The sequence below is a fragment of the Homo sapiens genome, chromosome 2 (assembly GCF_000001405.40).
Source record: "Homo sapiens chromosome 2, GRCh38.p14 Primary Assembly".
NCBI classification, from domain to species: Eukaryota; Metazoa; Chordata; class Mammalia; order Primates; family Hominidae; genus Homo; species Homo sapiens.
The window spans coordinates 89,794,615-89,816,913 of NC_000002.12; the positions used below are offsets into that span (position 1 = coordinate 89,794,615).

Sequence of the window (22,299 nt, forward strand, 5' to 3'; positions counted from 1 at the left end):
TCCATTCAATGATGATTCCATTGGACCCCATTTAATGATGATTCCATTCGAGTCCATTCGTTGATTCAGTTCAAATCCATTCGGTGTTGATTCCATTCGATTTCATCGTTAGATTTCATTCGATTCCATTTGAAGTTTCCATTCGATTCCATTCATTGATGAGTCCGTTCGATTTCATTTGATGATTTAATTTTATTCCATTCGATGATGATTCTATTCTTGTCCACTCGATGATTGCATTCGAGTCCATTCGATGATTCCATTCGATTGCAATCCAGGAGGATTCCATTCGTGTCCATTCAATGAATGCATTCAATTCCATTCTATTAGATTCCATTTCCAGTCCATTCGATGACTTCATTCGATTCATTTCGATGATGATGCCATTTGATTCCATTCGTTGGTTCCATCCAATTCCATGCAATGATGATTTCATTCATGTCCATTCAATGGTTCTATTCAAATCAATTTGATGATTGCTTTAGATTCCATTCAAAGATGATTCCATTGGATTCCATTTGATGATGATTCCATTCGATACCATTTGATGATTTAATTCGATTCCATTCGATGATGATTCCATTCCCTTCCATTCGATGATGCTATTCGATTCCATTCTATGATGATTCCATTTGACTCCATTCGATGATTCCATTCGATTCCATTTGATGAGGATGCCATTCGTTTCCATTTGATGATTCCATTCAATTTCATTAGGTGATGATTCCATTCCATTCCATTCGATGATTCCATTCGAGAATGATTCCATTCGATTCCATTTGAAGATTACTTTCGATATCATTTGAAGTTGTTTCTTTTCGAGTGCACTTGATGATTCCATTCGATTCCATTCAATGATGATTCCATTCGAGTCCATTCGAAGATTCCATTTGATTCCATTTGATGATGATTCCATTTGAGTCCATTCAATGATTCCATTCGATTCCTTTCGATGATCATTCCATTTGATTCCACTCGATGATTCCACTCGATTCCAATCTATGATTATTCCATTCGATTCCATTCGATGATGATTCCATTTGATTCCATTCGGTGATGATTCCATTAAATTCCATTCGATGATGACACCAATAGATTCCATTTGATGATGATTCCATTCGGTTCCATTGCTTGATGATTCCATTAAATTCCATTCGATGATTCCATTCGATTCCATTCATTGGTGATTCCATTCGATTCCATTCAATGATGATTCCATTCGATTCCATTCGATGATGATTCCATTCAATTCCATTTGATGATGATTCCGTTCGCTTCCATTCGATGATGATTCCATTTGATTTCATTAGATGATTACATTCGGTTCATTTTGATGATGTTTCCATTTTCTTCGATTCAATGATTCCTTTCAATTCCATTCGATGATGACTCTATGCATTCCATTGGATGATGATTCCGTTCGATTCCATTCGATGATTCCATTCGAGTCCATTCAATGACTCAATTCAATTCCGTTTGTTGATGATTCCATTCGAGTCCATTTGATGTTTCCATTCAATTCCATTTGATGATGATTCCATTCAATACCAACCGATGATTCCATTCAATTTCATTCGATGATGGTTACATTTGATTCCATTCGATGATTCTATTCAATTCCATCTGTTGATGATTCCATTCAAGTTTATTCGATGATTCCATTTGATTCCATTCGATGATATTCCATTCTAATCCACTCAACGATTCCATTAGATGATTCCATTCAAGTCCATTCAATGATTCCATTCGAGTACATTCAATGATTCCATTCTATTCCATTCCATGATGATTCCATCTGAGTCCATTTGATGATAATTGCATTCGATTCTATTCAATGATTCTGTTCGATTCCATTTGATGATGTTTCTATTAGAGTCCATAGGATGATTCCATTCGATTCCATTCAATTATAATTACATTCGTGTTCATTCGAAGATGCTATTCGATTCCATTCTGTGATGATTCCATTCGTGTCTATTCAATGATTCTCTTTGATTCCACTTGATGACTCCGTTCGATTCCGTTCGATAATTCCATTCTGTTACATTCGATGATTATTCCATTCGATTCCATTCGAAGATGATTCCATTCGATTCCATTCAATGATGTTTCCATTCTATTCCATTCGATGAGGACTCCGTTAGTTTCCATTCGTTGATGATACCATTCCATTCCTTTTGATGATTCCATTTGATTCCATTAATTGATGATTCCATTCGATTTCATTCGATGATGATTCCATTTAATTCCATTCGATGATGATTCCATTCCATTCCATTCGATGATGAGTCCATTCGATTCAATCCCGTGATGATTCCATTTCATTCAATTCGATGATATTTCCATTCGAGTCCATTCAATGATTCCATTCGATTACATTCCAAGATGATTCTATTCCAGTCCATTCGATGATTCCATTCGATTCCATTTGATGATTCCATTCGTGTCCATTTGATGATTCCATTCAAGTGCATTCGATGATGATTCCATTCGATTCCATTCGATTATGATTCCATTCGAGAATATTCGATGATTCCATTCGATTATATTCAATAATGATTCCATTCGTGTCCATTTTATAATTCCATTTGATTCCATTTGATGATTCCATTCGAGTCCATTTGATGATTCCATTTGAATGTATTTGATGATTCCATTCTATTCCATTTGATGATGATTCCTTTCCAGTTTATTTGATGATGATTCCATTTGATTCCATTTGATGATTCCATTGGATTTCATTCTATGATTCACTTTGATTCCTTTTGATGATGATTCCATTTTATTCAATTCGATGATGATTCCATTTGATTCCTTACAATGATGAGTCCTTTCAATTCCATTTGATGATAAACCCACTCAATTCCATTGATGACGATTGCATTCAAGTCCATTCGATGATTCCATTGAAGTCCATTTGATGATGATTCCATTTGATTCCATTCGATGATGATTCCGTTCGATTCCATTTGATGTTGACTCCATTTGTTTCAATTCTATGATGACTCCTTTAGGTTCCATTTGATGATGATTCCATTCGGTTCCATCTGATGATTCCATTAGATTCCATTAGATGATTCCATTCTATTACATTCGTTGATGTTTCCATTCATTTCCATTCGGTGATGATTCCATTTGATGATGATTCCATTCAATTCCCTTTGGTGATGATTCAATTTGATTTCATTCCATGATTCTATGTGATTCCATTCAGTGATGATTCCATTCTATTCCATTCGATGAGTCCATTTGATTCCATTTGATGATGATTCACTTCTATTCCTTTCAGTGATTCCTTTCAATTCCATTCGATGATTCCATTCAAGTCTATTCGATAATTCCATTTGATTCTATTCAATGATGATTCCATTCGAGTGCATTCAGTGATGATTCCATTCGATTGCATTTGATGATTCACTTCGATTCCTTTTGATGTTGATTCCATTCAATTCCATTCTATGATTCCTTTTGATTCTATTCGATGATGATTCCATTCGATTCCATTCGAAGATAATTCCATTCTATTCCTTTCCTTGATGATTCCATTCGTTTCCATTCGATGACGATTCCATTTGATTCCATTTGATGATATTTCCATTCGATTCAATTCGATGATGATTCCATCAGAGTCCATTCAATGATTCCAATAGATCTATTTAATGATTTCATTCCATTCCATTCTTTGATTCCATGCGATTACATTGGATGATGATTCCTTTCAGATCCATTCAATGATTCCATGTGATTTCATTCGATGAAGACTATATTCGATTCAATTAGATGATTCCGTCTGATTCCATTCGATTATGATTGCATTCGATTCCATTCGGTGATTCCATTGGATTACATTCGATGATGATTCCATTCCATTCCATTTGATGATTCCATTCGACGATGATTCCATTCGATTCCTTTCAGTGACTACTTTCGATTTCATTCGATGATGTTTCTATTTGAGTGCATTCGGTGATTCCATTCAATTCCATTCATTGATGATTCCATTCGAGTCCACTCGAAGATTCCTTTCGATTCCATTTGATGGTGATTCCATTCGAGTCCATTAAATGATTCCATTCGATTCCATTCAATGATTCCATTAGATAACATTGGATGATTCCCTTTGATTCAATTCGATGATCATTCCATTCCATTCCATTCGATGATGATTCCATTTGGTTCCATTCGATGATGATTACATTAGTTTCCATTTGATGATGATTCCAATCAGTTCCATTGGTTGATGATACCATTAAATTCCATTCGATGATTCCATTCGATTCCATTCGATGATGATTCCATTCGATTCCATTCGATGAGGACTCCATTAGTTTCCATTAGAAGATGATTCCACTCCATTCCGTTTGATGATTCCATTCGATTCCATTCATTGATTATTCCATTCGATTCCATTCGATGACGATTCCATTCGGTTCCATTCGATGATGATTCAATTTGATTCCATTCTATGATGATTCCGTTTGATTCCATTCGATGATGAGTCCATTCGATTCCATCCTATGATAATTCCTTTTCATTAAATTTGATAATATTTCCATTTGAGTCCATTCTATGATTCCATTCAATTAAATTCCATTCGAGTCCATTCGATGATTCTATTGGATTCCATTCGATGATTCCATTAGAGTCCATTCGATGATGATTCCATTCGATTCCATTTGATTCCATTTGATGATTCCTTTTGAGTGCATTTGATGATTCCACTCGATTCCATTTGATGATGATTTCATTCGTGTCCATTCGATGATTCCATTCAATTCCATTCGATGATGACTCCATTAGATTCAATTTGATGATGATTCCATTCGGTTCCACCGCTTGATGATACCGTTAATTTCCATTCGATGATTCCATTCAATTCCATTCATTGATGATTCCCTTTGATTCCATTCAATGATGATTCCATTTGATTCCATTGGATGATGATTCCGTTCGATTCCATTTGATGATGATTCCACTCAATTCCATTCGATGATGTTTCCAATCGATTTCATTCGATGATTATATTTGGTTCCATTTGATGATTTTTCCATTCTCTTCCATTTGATGATTCCATTCAATTCCATTCGATGATGATTCCATGCATTCCATTGAATGATGATTCCATTCGAGTCCATTCAATGATTCAATTCAATTCCATTTGTTGATGATTCCATTCGAGTCCATTCGATGTTTCCATTAGATTCCATTTGAAGTTGATTCAGTTCGATGCCATTCGATGTTTCCATTCGATTCCATTTGAAGTTGATTCCATTCGATGCCATTTGATGATTCCATTCGATTTCATTCAGTGATGATTACATTCAATTCCATTTGATGATTCCATTCAATTCAATTTGATGATGATTCCATTCAAGAGTATTTGATGATTCCATTCGATTCCATTCGATGATGATTCCATTCCATTCCATTAGATGATTCCATTTGATGATTCCATTCAAGTCCATTCGATGATTCCATTCGAGTACGTACGATGATTCCATTCTATTCCATTCCATGATGATTCCATTTGAGTCCATTCGATGATGATTCCATTCAATTCTATTCGATGATTCCATTCGATTCCATTTGATAATGTTTCTATTTGAGTCCATTGGATGATTCCATTTGAATCCATTCAATTATAATTACATTCGAGTTCACTCGAAGATTACATTCGATTCCATTCTGTGATGATTCCATTCGAGTCCATTCAATGATTCTCTTTGATTCCATTCGATGACTCCATTCAATTCCATTCGATGATTCCCTTCAATTCCATTCGATGATCATTCCTTTAGATTCCATTTGATGTTTGCATTTGATTCCATTCGATGATGATTCCATTCCATTCCATTCGATAATGATTCAATTCGATTCCATTTGATGATGATTCTATTTGATTGCATTCAATGATGATTCCATTCGATTCCATTCGATGATGATTCCATTCCATTCCATTCAATGGGGACTCCGTTAGGTTCCATTTGTTTATGATTCCATTCCATTCTCTTTGATGATTCCATTCGATTCCATTCAATGATGATTCCATTCCATTCCATTCGATGATGATTTCATTTGATTCCACTCTATGATGATTCCATTCCATTTGATGATGAGTCCATTCAATTCAATCCCATGATGATTCCATTTCATTCAGTTTGATGATATTTCCATTTGATTAAATTCCATTCGATTAAATTGCATGTTGATTCCATTCGAGTCCATTCAATGATTCCATTGGATTCCATTCAATGATTCCATTCGAGTGCATTCGATGATGTTTCCATTCGATTCCATTTGATGATTCCATTCAATTCCATTTGATGATGATTCCTTTTGAGTCCATTCGATGATTCCACTCGATTCCATTTGATGATGATTCCATCCGTGTCCATTTGATGATTCCATTCGATTCCATTCGATGACTCCATTCGAGTGCATTCGATGATTCCATTCGATTCCATTCGATTATGATTCCATTCGATTCCAGTCATTGATAAAATCCGGTTTCATTCCATCATAATTCTTTTTGATTCCATTCAATGATGATTCCATTCGAGTCCATTCATTATTTCCATTTGATTCCATTTGATGATGATTACATTCGAGTCCATTGGATGATTGCATTCGAGTCCATTCGATGATTCCATTTGATTCCATTAGATGATGATTCCATTCGAGTCCATTCAATGTTTCCTTTCAATTTCATTCGATGATGACTCCATTCGTGTCCATTCGATGACTCCATTTGATGCCATTCGATGATGATTCCATTCCAGTCCATTTGATGATTCCATTTGATTCCATTCGATGATGATTCCATTCGAGTCTATTTGATGATTCCATTCGAGTCCATTCGATGATGATTTCATTCGAGTCCATTCGATGATTCCATTCAAATCCATTTCATGATGATTCCATTCGTGTCCATTCGAAGATTCCATTCGAGTCCATTCAATGATGATTCTACTCGATTCCATTTGATGATTCCATTTGATTTCATTCGATGATGATTCCATTTGATGCTGTTCGATGATTCCATTAGATTTCTTTCGATGATGATTCCATTCGATTCCTTTCAATGATTCCATTCAATTCCATTCAATGATGATTCTATTCGATTCCATTAGATGATTCCATTTGATTGCATTCGATGATGATTCCATTCACTTCCTGTCACTGATTCTATTCAATTTCATTCGATGGTTCCTCTTGATTCCATTCATGATCATTCCGTTTGAGTCCAATCGAAGTTTTCATTCGATTCCATTTGATGATTATTCCTTTCGAGTCCATTCGATTATTCCATTCAAGTCCATTTAATGATTCCATTTGATTCCATTTGATGATGACTCCATCCGATGCCATTCGATGATTCCATTTGATTCAATTTGGCGATGATTCCATTCGAGTCCATTCAATGACTCCCTTCAATTCCATTTGATGATTTTCCATTCGTGTCCATTCCATGATTCCATTCGATTCCATTCGATGATGATTTCATTTGAGTCCATTTGATGATTCCATTCGATTACATTCGATGATGATTCCATTTGTGTCCATTCGATGATCCTATTGAATTCCATTACATGATTTCACTTGATTCAATTCCATGAGTCCAGTCTATTCATTTCCATGATGATTCCTTTCAATTCAATTTCATGATATTTCCATTAGAGTCCATTCAATGATTCCATTCGATTCCATTCGATGATGATTCCATTTGTGTCCATTCGCTGATTCCATTTGATTCCAATAGATGATTTCCTTCGAGTCCATTCAATGATTCCATTCGAATGCATTCAATGATTCCATTCTATTCCATTCGATGATGATTCCATTCAAGTCCATTCAATGATGATTCCATTCGATTCCATTTGATTCCATTCGATGATTCATTTCAATTCCTTTTGATGATGATTCCATTCAATTCCATTCAATGATTCCATTCAATTCCATTCGATGATGATTCCGTTCAATTACTTTTGAAGATGATTCCTTTCGATTCCATTAGATGATAACTACATTCGATCCCATTGATGCCAATTGCTTTCGAGTCCATTCGATGATTCCATTCGAGTCTATTTGATGATTCCATTCTAGTCCACTCAACTATGATTCTATTCGAATCCATTCGAGGATGATTCCATTTGTATCCATTCGATGATTCCATTCGATTCCATTCGATGATGATTTCATTTGAGTCCATTTGATGATTCCATTCGATTACATTCAATGATGATTCCATTCAATGCCATTAGATGATGTATCTATTAGAATCCATTCGATGATGACCCCGTTAGGTTCCATTTGATGATGATTCAATTTGGTTCCATTCGATGATGATTCCATTAGATTTCACTCCATGATTCCATTCGATTCCCAAATGGAATCGTCATCGAATGGAATCGAGAGGAGTCATCGAATGGACTCGAAAGGAATCATCATCGAATGGAATTGAATGAAATCATCACACGGTTTCAAATAGAATCATCATTGAAAGGAATCCAATGGACTCATCATTGAATGGAATCGTGTGGATTCATCATCAAATGGAATCCTATGCAATCGTCCAATGTAATAGAATTGAATCATCATCGAATGGAATAGAATGGAATCATTGAATGAAATCGAGTGGAATCATCATTGAATGGAATCGAATGTAATCATCAATGAATGGAATAGAATGGAATCATGGAATGGAATCCAAAGTAATCATCATCGAATTGAACACAATGGAATCATTAAATGGACTCGAATGAAATAATCATAGAATGGAATTTAATGGAATCATTGAATGGAATTGAATGGAATCATCATCAAATGGAATCGAATGGAATCACTGAATGGACTCGAATGGAATCATCATCAAATGGAATCAAATGGAATCATCTAATGGACTTGAAAGGAATCATCATCGAATGAAATCGAATGGAATCACTTAATAGACACGAATGGAATCATCATCAAATAGAATCGAATGGAATCATTAAATGGACTCGAATGGAATATTATCACAAGGAATCAAAAGCAATCAACGAAAGGACTCAAATGGAATTATCAAATGGGCTCGAATGGAATCATCGAATGGACTCGAATGGAATCATCATACAATGGACTCAAATGAAAAGACTGAATGGACTCGAATGGAATCATTGTTGAATGTAATCGAATGGAATCATCAAATGGAAACAAATGGAATCATTTAATGGAATTGAAAGGAATCAGCATCGAATGAAATCGAGTGGAATCATCATCGAATGAAATTGAATGGAATCGTCATCAAATAAAATCGAATGGAATCATCATCAGATGGAATCAATTGGAATAATCACCGAATGGAATGGAATGGAATCATCGAATGGAATCAGACGTAATCATCATCAAATGGAATCGAATAGAAGCATCAAATGAATTAGAATGGAATCATCATCGAACGGACTTGAATGGAATCATTGCCGAAGAGAATCGAATGGAATCATCATCGAATGGAATTGAATGGAAACACCATCGAATTGAATCAAAAGGAACAATCATGGAATTGAGTCAAATGGCTCATCATCGAATCGAATCGAATGGAAAAATCATCGAATGGAATTGAATGGAATCTTTGACAGGAATCAAATGGAAGCATCATCGAATGGAAACGAATGGAATCATCATTGAATGGAATCGAATGGAAGCATCATCGAATGGAAACGAATGGAATCATCGTCAAAAGGAATCGAAGGGAAACATCAAATGGGATAGAACGGAGTCATGGAATGTAATCGAGTGGAATCATCAAATGGATTCAAACGGAATGATCATTGAAGGTAATCGAATGGAATCATAGAATGGAATTGAATGGAATCCTCATCAAATGCAATCAAATGAAATGATTGAATGGATATGAATGGAATCATCATCGAATGGAATCGAATGGAATCAAATGGAATAGAATGGAATCATCATTGAATGGAATTGAATGGAATCATCATTAAATGGAATTGAATGGAATCATCATCGAATGGAATCTAATGGAATCATCATCTAATGTAATCAAATGGAATCATCAACGAATGGAATCAAATTGAAAAATCAAATGGAATCTATGGGGATCATCATCGAATGGAACCGAATGCAGTCGTCATCGAATGGAATCGAATGGAATCATCACCGCATGGATTGAATGGAATCATCATCAAAAGGAATCGAAGGGAATCATTGAATTGAATCGAACAGAATCATCGAACAGAATCGAATTTAATCCTCATCAAACGGAATCAAATGGAAATAAAATCGAATGGAATCAAATGGAATCATCGAATGGACTAGAATAGAATAATCGAATGAAATCAAATGGAATCATTGAATGGAATTGAATGGAATCATCAAAAAGAGTCGAATGGAATCTTCATCAAATGAAATCGTTTGGAGTCATTGAATGGAATTGAATGGAATCATCGAATGGGCTCGAATGGAATCATCATCGAATGGAATCGAATGGGATCATCATCAAAAGGAATCGAATGGAATCATTGAATGGACCCGAATGTAATGATGAAATGGACTTGAATAGAATCATCAAATGGAATCGAATGGAATCATTGAATGGACTCGAATGAAATCACTGAATGGACTCTAATGAAATCACTGAATGGACTCGAAAGGAATCATCATCAAATGGAATTGAATGGAATCCTCGAATGGAATAATCAAATGGAATCGAATGGAATCATCATCTAATGGTATCAAATGGAATCATTGAATGGAATCGAAGGCAATCATCATTGAATGGAATCAAATGGAATCATCGAATGAATTCGAATGGAATCATCATCAAGTGGAATTGAGTGGAATAATAGAAGGGAATCAAATGGAATAAATGTCAAATTGAATGGAATGGAATCAATGAATGGAATTGAATGGAATCACCAAAGAATGCAATGGAATGGAAACATCATCGAATGGAATCAAATAGAATCATCAAATGGACTCGAATGGAATCATCAATGAATGGATTCGTGTGAAATAACCTAATGGGCATGAATAGAATCATCATCGAATGGAATCAAATGGAATCATCTAACGTACTCGAAAGGAATCATCATTGAATGGAATAGAATGGAATCATCGAATGGAACTGAACAGAATCATCATTGTATGGAATTGAGTGGAATCATCGAATGGACTCGAATGTAATCATCAGAGAATGGAATCAAATGGAATCATCAGATGGACTCGAAGTGAATGATCATCGAATGGATTCGAATGGAATCATCGATTTGACTCGAATGGAATCATCATCAAATATAATCAAAAGCAATCATCAAATGGATTCGAATAGAATCATCGAATGGGCTGGAATTGAATCATCATTGAATGAAATCAAATGGAATCATCGAATGGACTCAAATGAAATCATCATCGAATGGAATCGAATGGAATCATCGAAAGGAATCGAATGGAATCATCATCGAATGGAATGGAATGGAATCACTGATTGGACTCGAATGGAATCATGATCAAATGGAATCGAGTGGAATCATATAATGGACTCGAAAGGAATCGTCATCAAATGAAATGGAATGGAATCATTGAATGGACACTAATGGAATCATCATCAAAGAGAATCGAATGGAATCATCTAAAGGACTTGAATGGAATATCATTGAATTGAATCAAAAGCAATGATCGAATGAACTCAAATGGAATTATCAAATGGACTCGAATGGAATCATTGAATGGACTCGAATGGAATCATCATTGAATGGACTCATAAATGACTGAATGGTCTCGAATGGAGTCATCGATTGGGCTCAAATGGAATTATCGAATGGGCTGGAATGGAATCATCAAATGGACTCGAATGGAATCATTATCAAATGGAATCAAATGGAATCATCGAATGGAATCGAATGGAATCATCAAATGGAATCAATCAGAATCATCATCAAATGGAACCAAATGGAATCATTAAATGGAATCGAATGCAGTCATCATCAAAAGGAATCGAATGGAATCATCATCGAATGGAATTGAATGGAATCATCGAATGGAATCAAATGGAATCATCGAATGGAATTGAAAGGAATCAGCATTGATCAAAATCGAATGAGAGCATCATCGAATGGAATCAAATGGAATCATTGATTGGTATCATCGTCAAATGGAGTCCCATGGCATCATCAAATGGACTCGAATGGAATCTTCATAAAATAGAATTGAATGGAATCATCGAATGGAATCATCAATGAATGGTATCGAATGGTATCATTGAATGGACTCAAATGGGATCATCTTCAATTGGCATCAAAAGGAATCACCGAATGGACTCGAATGGAATAATCATCAGAACGAATCAAATGGAATCATCATCAAATGGAATCATCGAATGGCCTCGAATGGAATCATCATTGAATGGAATCGAATGGGATCAACATCGAATGGAATCGAATGAAATCATTGAATGGAATTGTTAAGAATCATCATCGAATGGAATCAAATGAAATCATCAAATGGAATCGAATGCAGTCATCATCGAATGGAATTGAATGGAATCATCTTCAAATAGAATCGAATGGAATCATTGAATGGAATCAAATGGAATCATCATTGAATGTAATCGAATGGAATCATCGAATGGAATCAAATAGAATGATCGAATGGAATTGAATGGAATCAGCATTGAACAAAATCGAAGGGAATCATCATCAAATAGAATCAAATGGACTCATTGAATGGAATCATCAGCAAATGGAGTCCAATGGAATTATCAAACGGACTCGAATGGAATCATCATAGAATGGAATTGAATGGAATCGAATGGAATCATCATCAAATGGAATCAAATGGTATCACTGAATGCACTCGAATGGAATCATGAACGAATGGTATCAAGTGGTATCATCGAATGGACACGAATGGAATCATCTTCAAATGGCATCAAAAGGAATCACCGAATGGACTCGAATGAAATAATCATCGAAAGGAAGCGAATGGAATCATCGAAAGGAAGCGAATGGAATCATCGAATGGAATCGAATGGAATCATCATCGAATGGAATCGAATGGAATCATCAAATGTACACGAATGGAATCATCATCATATGGAATCGAATGGAATCATCGAATGAAACCGAAAGGAATCATGATCAAATGGAATCAAATGGCATCATCATTGAATGGAATTGAAAGGAATCAACATCAAATGGAGTCAAATGGAATCATCATCAAATGGAATCCAAAGGAAAAATCATCGAATGCAACCGAATGGAATCATCATCAAATGGAAACGAAAGGAGTCATCATCGAATGGAATCGCATGGAATCATCATCGAATGGAATCGAATGGAATCATCATCGAATGACTTGAATGGAATCATCGAATGGTCTTGAATGGAATAATTATCAAATGGAATCAAAAGGAATTATCGAATGGAAACAAATAGAATCTTTGAATGGACTTGAATGGAATCATCGAATGGAACGGAATAGAATAATCAATGAACTCGAATGGAATCATCATTGAATGGAATCGAATGGAATCATCGAATGAAATCGAATGGAAACATCATCGAATGGAATCAAAAAGAATCATCATCAAATGGAATGGAATGATTCCCATCAAGCTACCAATGACTTTCTTCACAAAATTGGAGAAAAGTACTTTAAAGTTCATATGGAACCAAAAAAGAGCATGGATCGCCAAGTCAATCCTAAGCCAAAAGAACAAAGCTGGAGGCATCACACTACCTGACTTCAAACTATATTACAAGGCTACAGTAACCCAAACAGCATGGTACTGGTACAAAAACACAGATATAAATCAATGGAACAGAACAGAGCCCTGAGAAATAATGCCGCATGTCTACAACTATCTGATCTTTGGCAAACCTGAGAAAAACAAACAATAGGGAAAGGATTCCCTATTTAATAAATGGTGCTGGGAAAACTGGCTAGCCATATGTAGAAAGCTGAAACTGGATCCCTTACTTACACCTTATACAAAAATCAATTCAAGATGGATTAAAGACTTAAACGTTAGACCTAAAACCATAAAAACCCTAGAAGAAAACTTAGGCATTACCATTCAGGACATAGGCATGGGGAAGGACTTCATGTCTAAAACCCCAAAAGCAATGGCAACAAAAGCCAAAATTGACAAATTGGACCTAATTAAACTAAAGAGCTTCTGCACAGCAAAAGAAACTACCATCAGAGTGAACAGGCAACCTACAAAATGGGAGAAAATTTTCGCAACCTACTCATCTGACAAAGGGCTAATATCCAGAATCTACAATGAACTCAAACAAATTTACAAGAAAAAAACAAACAACCCCATCAAAAAGTGGGCAAAGGACATGAACAGACACTTCTCAAAAGAAGACATTTATGCAGCCAAAAAACACATGAAAAAATGCTCACCATCACTGGTCATCACAGAAATGCAAATCAAAACCACAATGAGATACCATCTCACACCAGTTAGAATGGCGATCATTAAAAAGTCAGGAAACAGGTGCTGGAGAGGATGTGGAGAAATAGGAACACTTTTACACTGTTGGTGGGACTGTAAACTAGTTCAACCATTGTGGAAGTCAGTGTGGCGGTTCCTCAAGGATCTAGAACTAGAAATACCATTTGACCCAGCCATCCCATTACTGTGTATATACCCAAAGGACTATAAATCATGCTGCTATAAAGACACATGCACACGTATGTTTATTGTGGCATTATTCACAATAGCAAAGACTTGGAACCAACCCAAATGTCCAACAATGATAGACTGGATTAAGAAAGTGTGGCACATATACACCATGGAATACTATGCAGCCATAAAAAAGGATGAGTTCATGTCCTTTGTAGGGACATGGATGAAATTGGAAACCATCATTCTCAGTAAACTCTCACAAGAACCAAAAACCAAACACTGCATATTCTCACTCATAGGTGGGAATTGAACAATCAGATCACATGGACACAGGAAGGGGAATATCACACTCTGGGGACTGTTATGGGGTGGGGGGAGGGTGGAGGGATAGCATTGGGAGATACACCTAATGCTCGATGACGAGTCAGTGGGTGCAGCACACCAGCATGGCAGATGTATACGTATGTAACTAACCTGCACAATGTGCACATGTACCCTAAAACTTAAAGTATAATAATAAAAAAAAACAAACGGAATCGAGTGGAATCATCATCGAATTGAATCCAAAGGAATCATCATTGAACGGAACCGTAAGGAATCATCATCAAATGGAACCAAAAGGAGTCATCATCGAATGGAATTGCATGGAATCATCATGGAATGGAATCGAATGGAATCATCATCAAATTGAATCTAATGGAATCATCGAATGGAATTGAATGGAATCATCATCGAATGAATTGAATGGAAACATCGAGTGGTCTCCAATGGAATCATTATCACATGTAATCGAATGGAATCATGGAATACAATCGACTGTTATAATCATCGAATGGACTCGAATGGAAACAACATCAAATGGAATGGAAAGGAATTATCGAATGGAATCGAATAGAATCATCAAATGGACTCGAAAGGAATCATTGAATGGAATGGAATGGAATAATCAATGGACTCAAATGGAAACATCATCTAATGGAATCGAATGGAATCATCGAATGGACTCGAATGGAATCATTATCAAATGGAATCAAATGGAATCATCGAATGGACTCAAATGGAATCTTCCTCGAATGGAATGGAAAGGAATCATCGAATGGACCTGAATGGAATCATCATCGAATGGAATCGAATGGAATCATTGAATAGACACGAATGGAATGATCAACGAATGGAATCGAATGGTATCATCGAATGGACTCGAATGGAAACATCATCGAATTGAATCAAATGGAACCACCAAATGGCATCAAAAGGCAACATAAACGAATGGAATCTAAGGGAATAATATAATGGACTCGAATGGAATCATCGAATGGACATGAGTGGAATCATCATCAAATAGAAAAGAAAGGAATCAGTGAATGGTATCTAATGGAATCATCATCGAATGGAATCGAATGGAATCATCGAATGGAATCAAATGGAATCATCATCAAATTCAATCTAATGGAATCATCGAATTGCCTCGAAGGGAATCATCATCGAATGGAATCGAAAGGAATCATCGAATGGAATAGAATGGAATCATCATCGAGTGGAATGGAATGGAGTCATCGAATGGACTCGAATGGAATCATCATCAAATTCAATCTAATGGAATCATCGAATGGACTCAAAGGGAATCATCGTCAAATGGAATCGAAAGGAATCATCGAATGGAATCGAATGGAATCATCATCGAATGGAATGGAATGGAATCATCGAATGGACCCGAATGGAATCATCATCAAAAGGAATCGAATGGAATGTTCGAATGGACACGATTGAAATCATCATCGAATGCAATTGAATGGAATCATCATCGAATGGAATCGAAAGGAAACATCATCGAATGAAATCCAATGGAATCAACAGATGAAATAGAATTGAAACATCATTAAATGGAATTGAATAGATTCATCAAATGAAATCGAATGGAATCATCATTGAATTGAATTGAGCGGAATCATCATCGAATGGTATTGAATGCAATCATCGTCAATTGGAATCGAATTGAATCATCACCGAATGGAATCGATTGGAATCATCATCGAATGGAATCGAATGGAATTCCATTCGATTCCATTCCATTCCATTTCATTCTATGCCATTCCATTCGATTCTATTCCATTCGACTCCATTCCATTCCATTCCGTTCCTTCCGATTCCATTCCATTCTATACCTTTCCATTCCATTCCATTGCAGTCATTTCCATTCCATTCGAGTCCATTCCACTCCAGTCCATTCTATTCAAGTCCACTCCATTCCAGTCCATTCCATTCTATTCCATTGCGTTCGATCCATTCCATTCCATTCGATGCCATTCCATTCGATTACACTCCATTCCTTTCCATTGCATTCCATTCCATTCCATTCCATTGCATTCCATTCCATTCCATTTGATTGTATTCCATTCGAATCCATTCCATTGGAATCAATTACATTGCAATCCATTACATTAGAGTCCGTTCTATTCCATTCCATCAAATTCAGTTCCATTCCATTCGATTCCATTCCATACTATTGCATTCCATTCGATTCCATTCTATTCGAATAAATACCATTCGAGACCATTCCTTTTGAGTCAATTATATTTGAGTCCATTCCATCCCACTCCATTACATTTGGGTCCATTCCACTCCATTCCAATCCATTCCATTCGATGAAATTCCATTCGATTCTATTCCATTCGAATCCATTCCATTCAAGTCCATTCCATTCCGTTCCATTCCATTCCATTCCATTCCATTCCATTCCATTCGAAGTCATTTCATTCGACTCTATGCCATTTGACTCCATTCCATTCCATTCCGTTCCATCAGATTCCATTCCATTCTATTCCTTTCCTTTCCATTCCATTCCATTCCATTCCATTCGTTTCCATTCCATTCCGTTCCATTCCATTCCATTCCATTCGTTTCCCTTCCATTCGAGCCATTCCACTCCAGTCCACTACATTCCATTCGTTTCCATTCCATTCGAGTCAATTCCACTCTAGTCCATTCCATTCGAGTCCATTCCATTCCATTCTATTCCTTTCGAGTCCATTCCATTGAATTCCACTCCATTCGATATCTTTCCATTACACTTCTTTCCATTCTGTTCCTTTCAATTCCATTCAATTCCATTCCATTTGATGCCATTCCATTCAATTTCATTCCAGTCGACTCCATTCCATTCGAGTCCATTTCATTCCATTCCATTACTTTCCATTCCATTTGATTCCAATCCTTTATATTCCATTTGGTTCAAGTCCATTCCATTCGACTCCATTCCATTCCAGTCAATTGCATTCGATCCCATTCCATTTGATTCCATTCCACTCGATTCCACTCCATTCCTTTCCACTGCATTCCATTCTATTCCATTTCATTGCACTCAATTCCATCCCACTTGATTACATTCCATTCGCTTCCATTCCAATTGAAACAATTAAATTGCAATCAATTACATTCGAGTCCGTTCTATTCCAGTCCATTCCATTCCACTGCAGTCCATTTCATTTAATTCCATTCCATACTATTGCATTTCATTCGAATCCATTCTATTTGAATAAATTCCATTCGAGACCATTCCATTCAAGTCCACTCTATTTGAGTCCATTCCATTCGAGTCCATTACATTTGGGTCCATTCCACTCCATTCCAACCCATTCCTTTCAATTCCATTCCATTCCATTCGATGCCATTCCATTCCATTCTATTCCACTTGAGTGCATTACATTCAAGACTATACCATTCCATTGCATTCCATTCCATTCAAGGCCATTCCATTAGATTCTATTCCATTTGACTCCATTCCATTCCATTCCATTCCTTCCGATTCCATTCCATTCTATTCCTTAGCATTCCATTCCATTGCATTCCATTCGAGTACATTCCACTCCAGGCCATTCCATTCGAGTCCATTCCATTCCAGTATATTCCATTCGAGTCCATTCCATTTCACTCCGTTCGAGGACTTTCCATTACAGTCCATTCCATTATATTCCCTTCAATTCCATTCAATTCCATTCTACTTGTTTCTATTCCATTTGATTCCATTCCATTCGATTCCATTCCGATTGAGTCCATTCCATCCAATTCCATTCCATTCCATTCCATTCCATTCCGTTCAGTTCGATTCCAATCCGTTTGATTCCATTTTGTTCCAGTCCATTCCATTCGAGTCCATTCCAATCCACTCCATTCCATTCGATTCCATTCCATTCGATTCCATTCCACTCGATTCCACTCTATTCCATTCCATTGAATTCCATTCTTTCCATTCCATTGCATTTTATACTATTAAATTACATTGCGTTCCATTGCATTCCACTTGATTACATTCCATTCGATTCCAATCCATTCGAATCAATTACATTGCAATCCATTACATTCGAGTCTGTTCTATTGCAGTCCATTCCATTCTGGTCCATTCCATTCAATTCCATTCCATTTGACTCCATTACATAGTATTGCATTCCATTCGAATCCATTCTATTCAAATCAATTCCATTTGAGAACATTCCATTCGAGTCCATTACATTTCGTTCCGTTCCATTCCATTCCATTCTATGCCATTCCATTCGATTCTATTCCATTCGAGTCCATTCCCATCGAGTCAATTCCATTCCATTCTGTTCAATACCATTCCATTTGATTTTATTCCATTCGACTCCACTCCATTCCATTCCGTTCGGTTAGATTCCATTCAATTCTATTCCTTGCCGTTCCATTCCATTCCGTTCCATTCCATTCCATTCGTTTCCATTCCATTGGAATCCACTCCACTCAAGTTCATTCCATTCAAGACCATTCCATTCGAGTCCATTCCATTCCATTCGATATCTTTCCATTACACTTCAATCCATTCTATTCCTTTCAATTCCATTCAATTCCATTCCATTCGATTCCATTACCTTCGATTCCATTCAATTCCATTCCATTCGATTCCATTCCATTCGACTCTGTTCCATTCGATTCCATTCCATTCCATTCTGTTCCGTTAGATTCCAATCAGTTCGATTCCATTTTCTTCTGGTCCATTCCCTTCGAGTCCATTCCATTCCAGTCCAATCCATTAGATTCCATTCCATTCAATTCCATTCCATTTCACTCGATTCCACTCCGTTCCATTCCGTTGCATTCCATTCTATTCCATTCCATTGTTTTCCATTCCATTCCATTTGATTACATTCCATTCGATTCCATTCCATTCGAATCAATTACATTGCAATCCATTACATTCACGTCCGTTCTATTCCACTCCATTGAATTCCAGTCCATTCCATTTGATTCCATTCCATTCGATTCCGTTCCATACTATTGCATTCCATTCGTTTCCATTGCGTTCGAATCAATTCCATTCGACACCATTCCTTTCGAGTCCATTCTATTTGAGTCCATTCCATTCGAGTCCATTACATTTGGATCCATTCCTTTCCATTCCATTCTTTTCATTCGAATCAATTCCATTCGACACCATTCCTTTCGAGTCCATTCTATTTGAGTCCATTCCATTCGAGTCCATTACATTTGGATCCATTCCTTTCCATTCCATTCCATTCCATTCGATGCCATTCCATTCAATTCTATTCCACTTGAGCGCATTCCATTTGAGTCCATTCCATTCCACTCCATTCTTTTCGATGCCATTCCATTGGATTCTATTCCATTCGATTCCATCCCATTTCATTCCATTCCATCAGATTCCATTCAATTCTATTCCTTTACATTTCATTCCATTAGGTTCCATTTCGTTCCATTCCATTCCATTCGTTTCCATTCCAATCGAGTCCATTCCACTCCAGTTCATTCCGTTTGAGACCATTCCATTTGAGTCCTTTCCATTCGAGTCCAATCCATTCCATTCCATTCCATTCAATATCTTTCCATTACACTCCATTCCTTTCTATTCCTTTTGATTCCATTCAATTCCATTCCATTCCATTCCATTCGACTGCCTTCCATTCGACTCTGTTCCATTCGAGTCCATTCCATTCCATTCCATTCCGTCCTGTTCGATTCCATTATGCTCTTGTCCATTCCATTCAATTCCATTCGATTCCAGTCCATTCCATTTAATTCCATTCCATTTGATCATATTCCATTCCACTCAATTCGACTCTGCTCCATTCCATTGCATTCCATTCTATTCCATTCCATTGCATTCCATTCCATTCCATTTGATTAAATTCCATTCGATTCCATTCCATTTGATTCCATTCCATACTATTTCATTCCATTCGATTCCATTCTTTTCGAACAAATTCCATTCGAGTCCATTCCTATCGAGTACATTCTATTTGGGTCCATTCCATTTGAGTCTATTACATTTGGGTCAATTCCATTCCATTCCATTGCATTCCATTCGATGCCATTCAATTCGATTCTCTTCCATTCAAGTCCATTCCATTCCATTCCATTCTATTCCATTCGATGTCATTCCATTTGATTCTATTCCATTCGACACCATTACATTCCATTTCGTTCCATCCAAATCCATTCCAAGCTATTCCTTTCCATTCCATTCCATTCCATTCCATTCCATTCCATTCCATTCCATTCCATACCATTCCATTCGTTTCCATCACATTCGAGTCCATTCCTCTCCATTCGAGTCCATTCCATTCCATTCGATATCTTCCCATTAAACTCCATTCCATTCTATTCCTTTCTATTCTTTTCCATTCCTTTCCATTGCATTCCATTCCATTCCATTCCATTTGAGTCCATTCTATTCGAGTCCATTCCATTCCATTCCATTCCATCCGATATACTTCCATTCCATTCCATTCCATTCTATTCGACTCCATTCCATTCGAGTCCATTCCATTCCATTCGACATCTTTCCGTTACACTCCATTCCGTTCTATTCCTTTTGATTCCATACAATTCCATTCCATTCTATTCCATTCCATTCATTTCCATTTCATTCGTGTCCATTGCATTCGAGGCCATTCCATTCCATTCCACTCCATTCTATTCCAATCCGTTCGATTCCATTTTGTTCCAGTACATTCCATTCGAGTCCATTCCATTCCATTCAATTCCATTCCATTCCATTCCTTTCCATATCTTTCCATTCCACTCAATTACACTCCTTTGCATTTTATTGCATTTCATTCTATTCCAATTCATTGCATACAATTCCATTCCATTTTATTACATTACATTTGAATCCATTCCATTCAAATCAATTACTTTGCAATTCATTGCATTCGAGTCTGTTCTATTCCAGTCCATTCCATTCCGGTTAATTCCATTTGATTGTGCTCCATTAGATTCCATTCCATACTATTGCATTCCATTCGATGCCATTCCATTTGTTTCTGTTCCATTCGAGTCTATTCCATTCGAGTCCATTCCATTCCATTCCATTCTATTCCATTCCATTCGAAGCCATTCCATTCAATTATATTCCATTCGACTCCTTTTCATTCCATTCAGATGCATCTAATTCCATTCCATTCTATTCCTTTCCATTCCATTCCATTCCATTCGTTTCCATTCCATTCGAGTCCATTCCTCCCCATTCCATTCCATTCGAGTCCATTCCATTCCACTCCATTACATTCAATATCTTTCCATTACAATCCCTTCCATTCTATTCCTTTCGATTCTATTCAATTCCTTTCCATTTGATACCATTCCATTAGATTCCATTCCATTTGATTCCATTCCAATCGGGTCTATTCCAT

At 36.6% G+C, this 22,299-nt stretch overlaps 1 gene, besides 5 other annotated features; it reads left to right on the forward strand.

Moving 5' to 3' along the window:
- The window catches only part of IGK (immunoglobulin kappa locus), a 1,378,008-nt gene that overhangs the window by 937,254 nt on the left and 418,455 nt on the right, over positions 1-22,299 (forward strand).
- Positions 16,771-17,620: an enhancer, noted in NCBI's record as "OCT4-NANOG-H3K27ac-H3K4me1 hESC enhancer chr2:89850195-89851044 (GRCh37/hg19 assembly coordinates)". NCBI's record gives its function as "activates a minimal SCP1, AML or CMV promoter by ChIP-STARR-seq in naive H9 embryonic stem cells {active_cell/tissue: H9 hESC(naive)}" and the evidence as "EXISTENCE:reporter gene assay evidence [ECO:0000049][PMID:30033119]".
- Positions 17,621-18,470: an enhancer, noted in NCBI's record as "OCT4-NANOG-H3K27ac-H3K4me1 hESC enhancer chr2:89851045-89851894 (GRCh37/hg19 assembly coordinates)". NCBI's record gives its function as "activates a minimal SCP1, AML or CMV promoter by ChIP-STARR-seq in naive H9 embryonic stem cells {active_cell/tissue: H9 hESC(naive)}" and the evidence as "EXISTENCE:reporter gene assay evidence [ECO:0000049][PMID:30033119]".
- Positions 18,471-19,318: an enhancer, noted in NCBI's record as "OCT4-NANOG-H3K27ac-H3K4me1 hESC enhancer chr2:89851895-89852742 (GRCh37/hg19 assembly coordinates)". NCBI's record gives its function as "activates a minimal SCP1, AML or CMV promoter by ChIP-STARR-seq in naive and primed H9 embryonic stem cells {active_cell/tissue: H9 hESC(naive and primed)}" and the evidence as "EXISTENCE:reporter gene assay evidence [ECO:0000049][PMID:30033119]".
- Positions 19,319-20,168: an enhancer, noted in NCBI's record as "OCT4-NANOG-H3K27ac-H3K4me1 hESC enhancer chr2:89852743-89853592 (GRCh37/hg19 assembly coordinates)". NCBI's record gives its function as "activates a minimal SCP1, AML or CMV promoter by ChIP-STARR-seq in naive H9 embryonic stem cells {active_cell/tissue: H9 hESC(naive)}" and the evidence as "EXISTENCE:reporter gene assay evidence [ECO:0000049][PMID:30033119]".
- Positions 20,169-21,016: an enhancer, noted in NCBI's record as "OCT4-NANOG-H3K27ac-H3K4me1 hESC enhancer chr2:89853593-89854440 (GRCh37/hg19 assembly coordinates)". NCBI's record gives its function as "activates a minimal SCP1, AML or CMV promoter by ChIP-STARR-seq in naive H9 embryonic stem cells {active_cell/tissue: H9 hESC(naive)}" and the evidence as "EXISTENCE:reporter gene assay evidence [ECO:0000049][PMID:30033119]".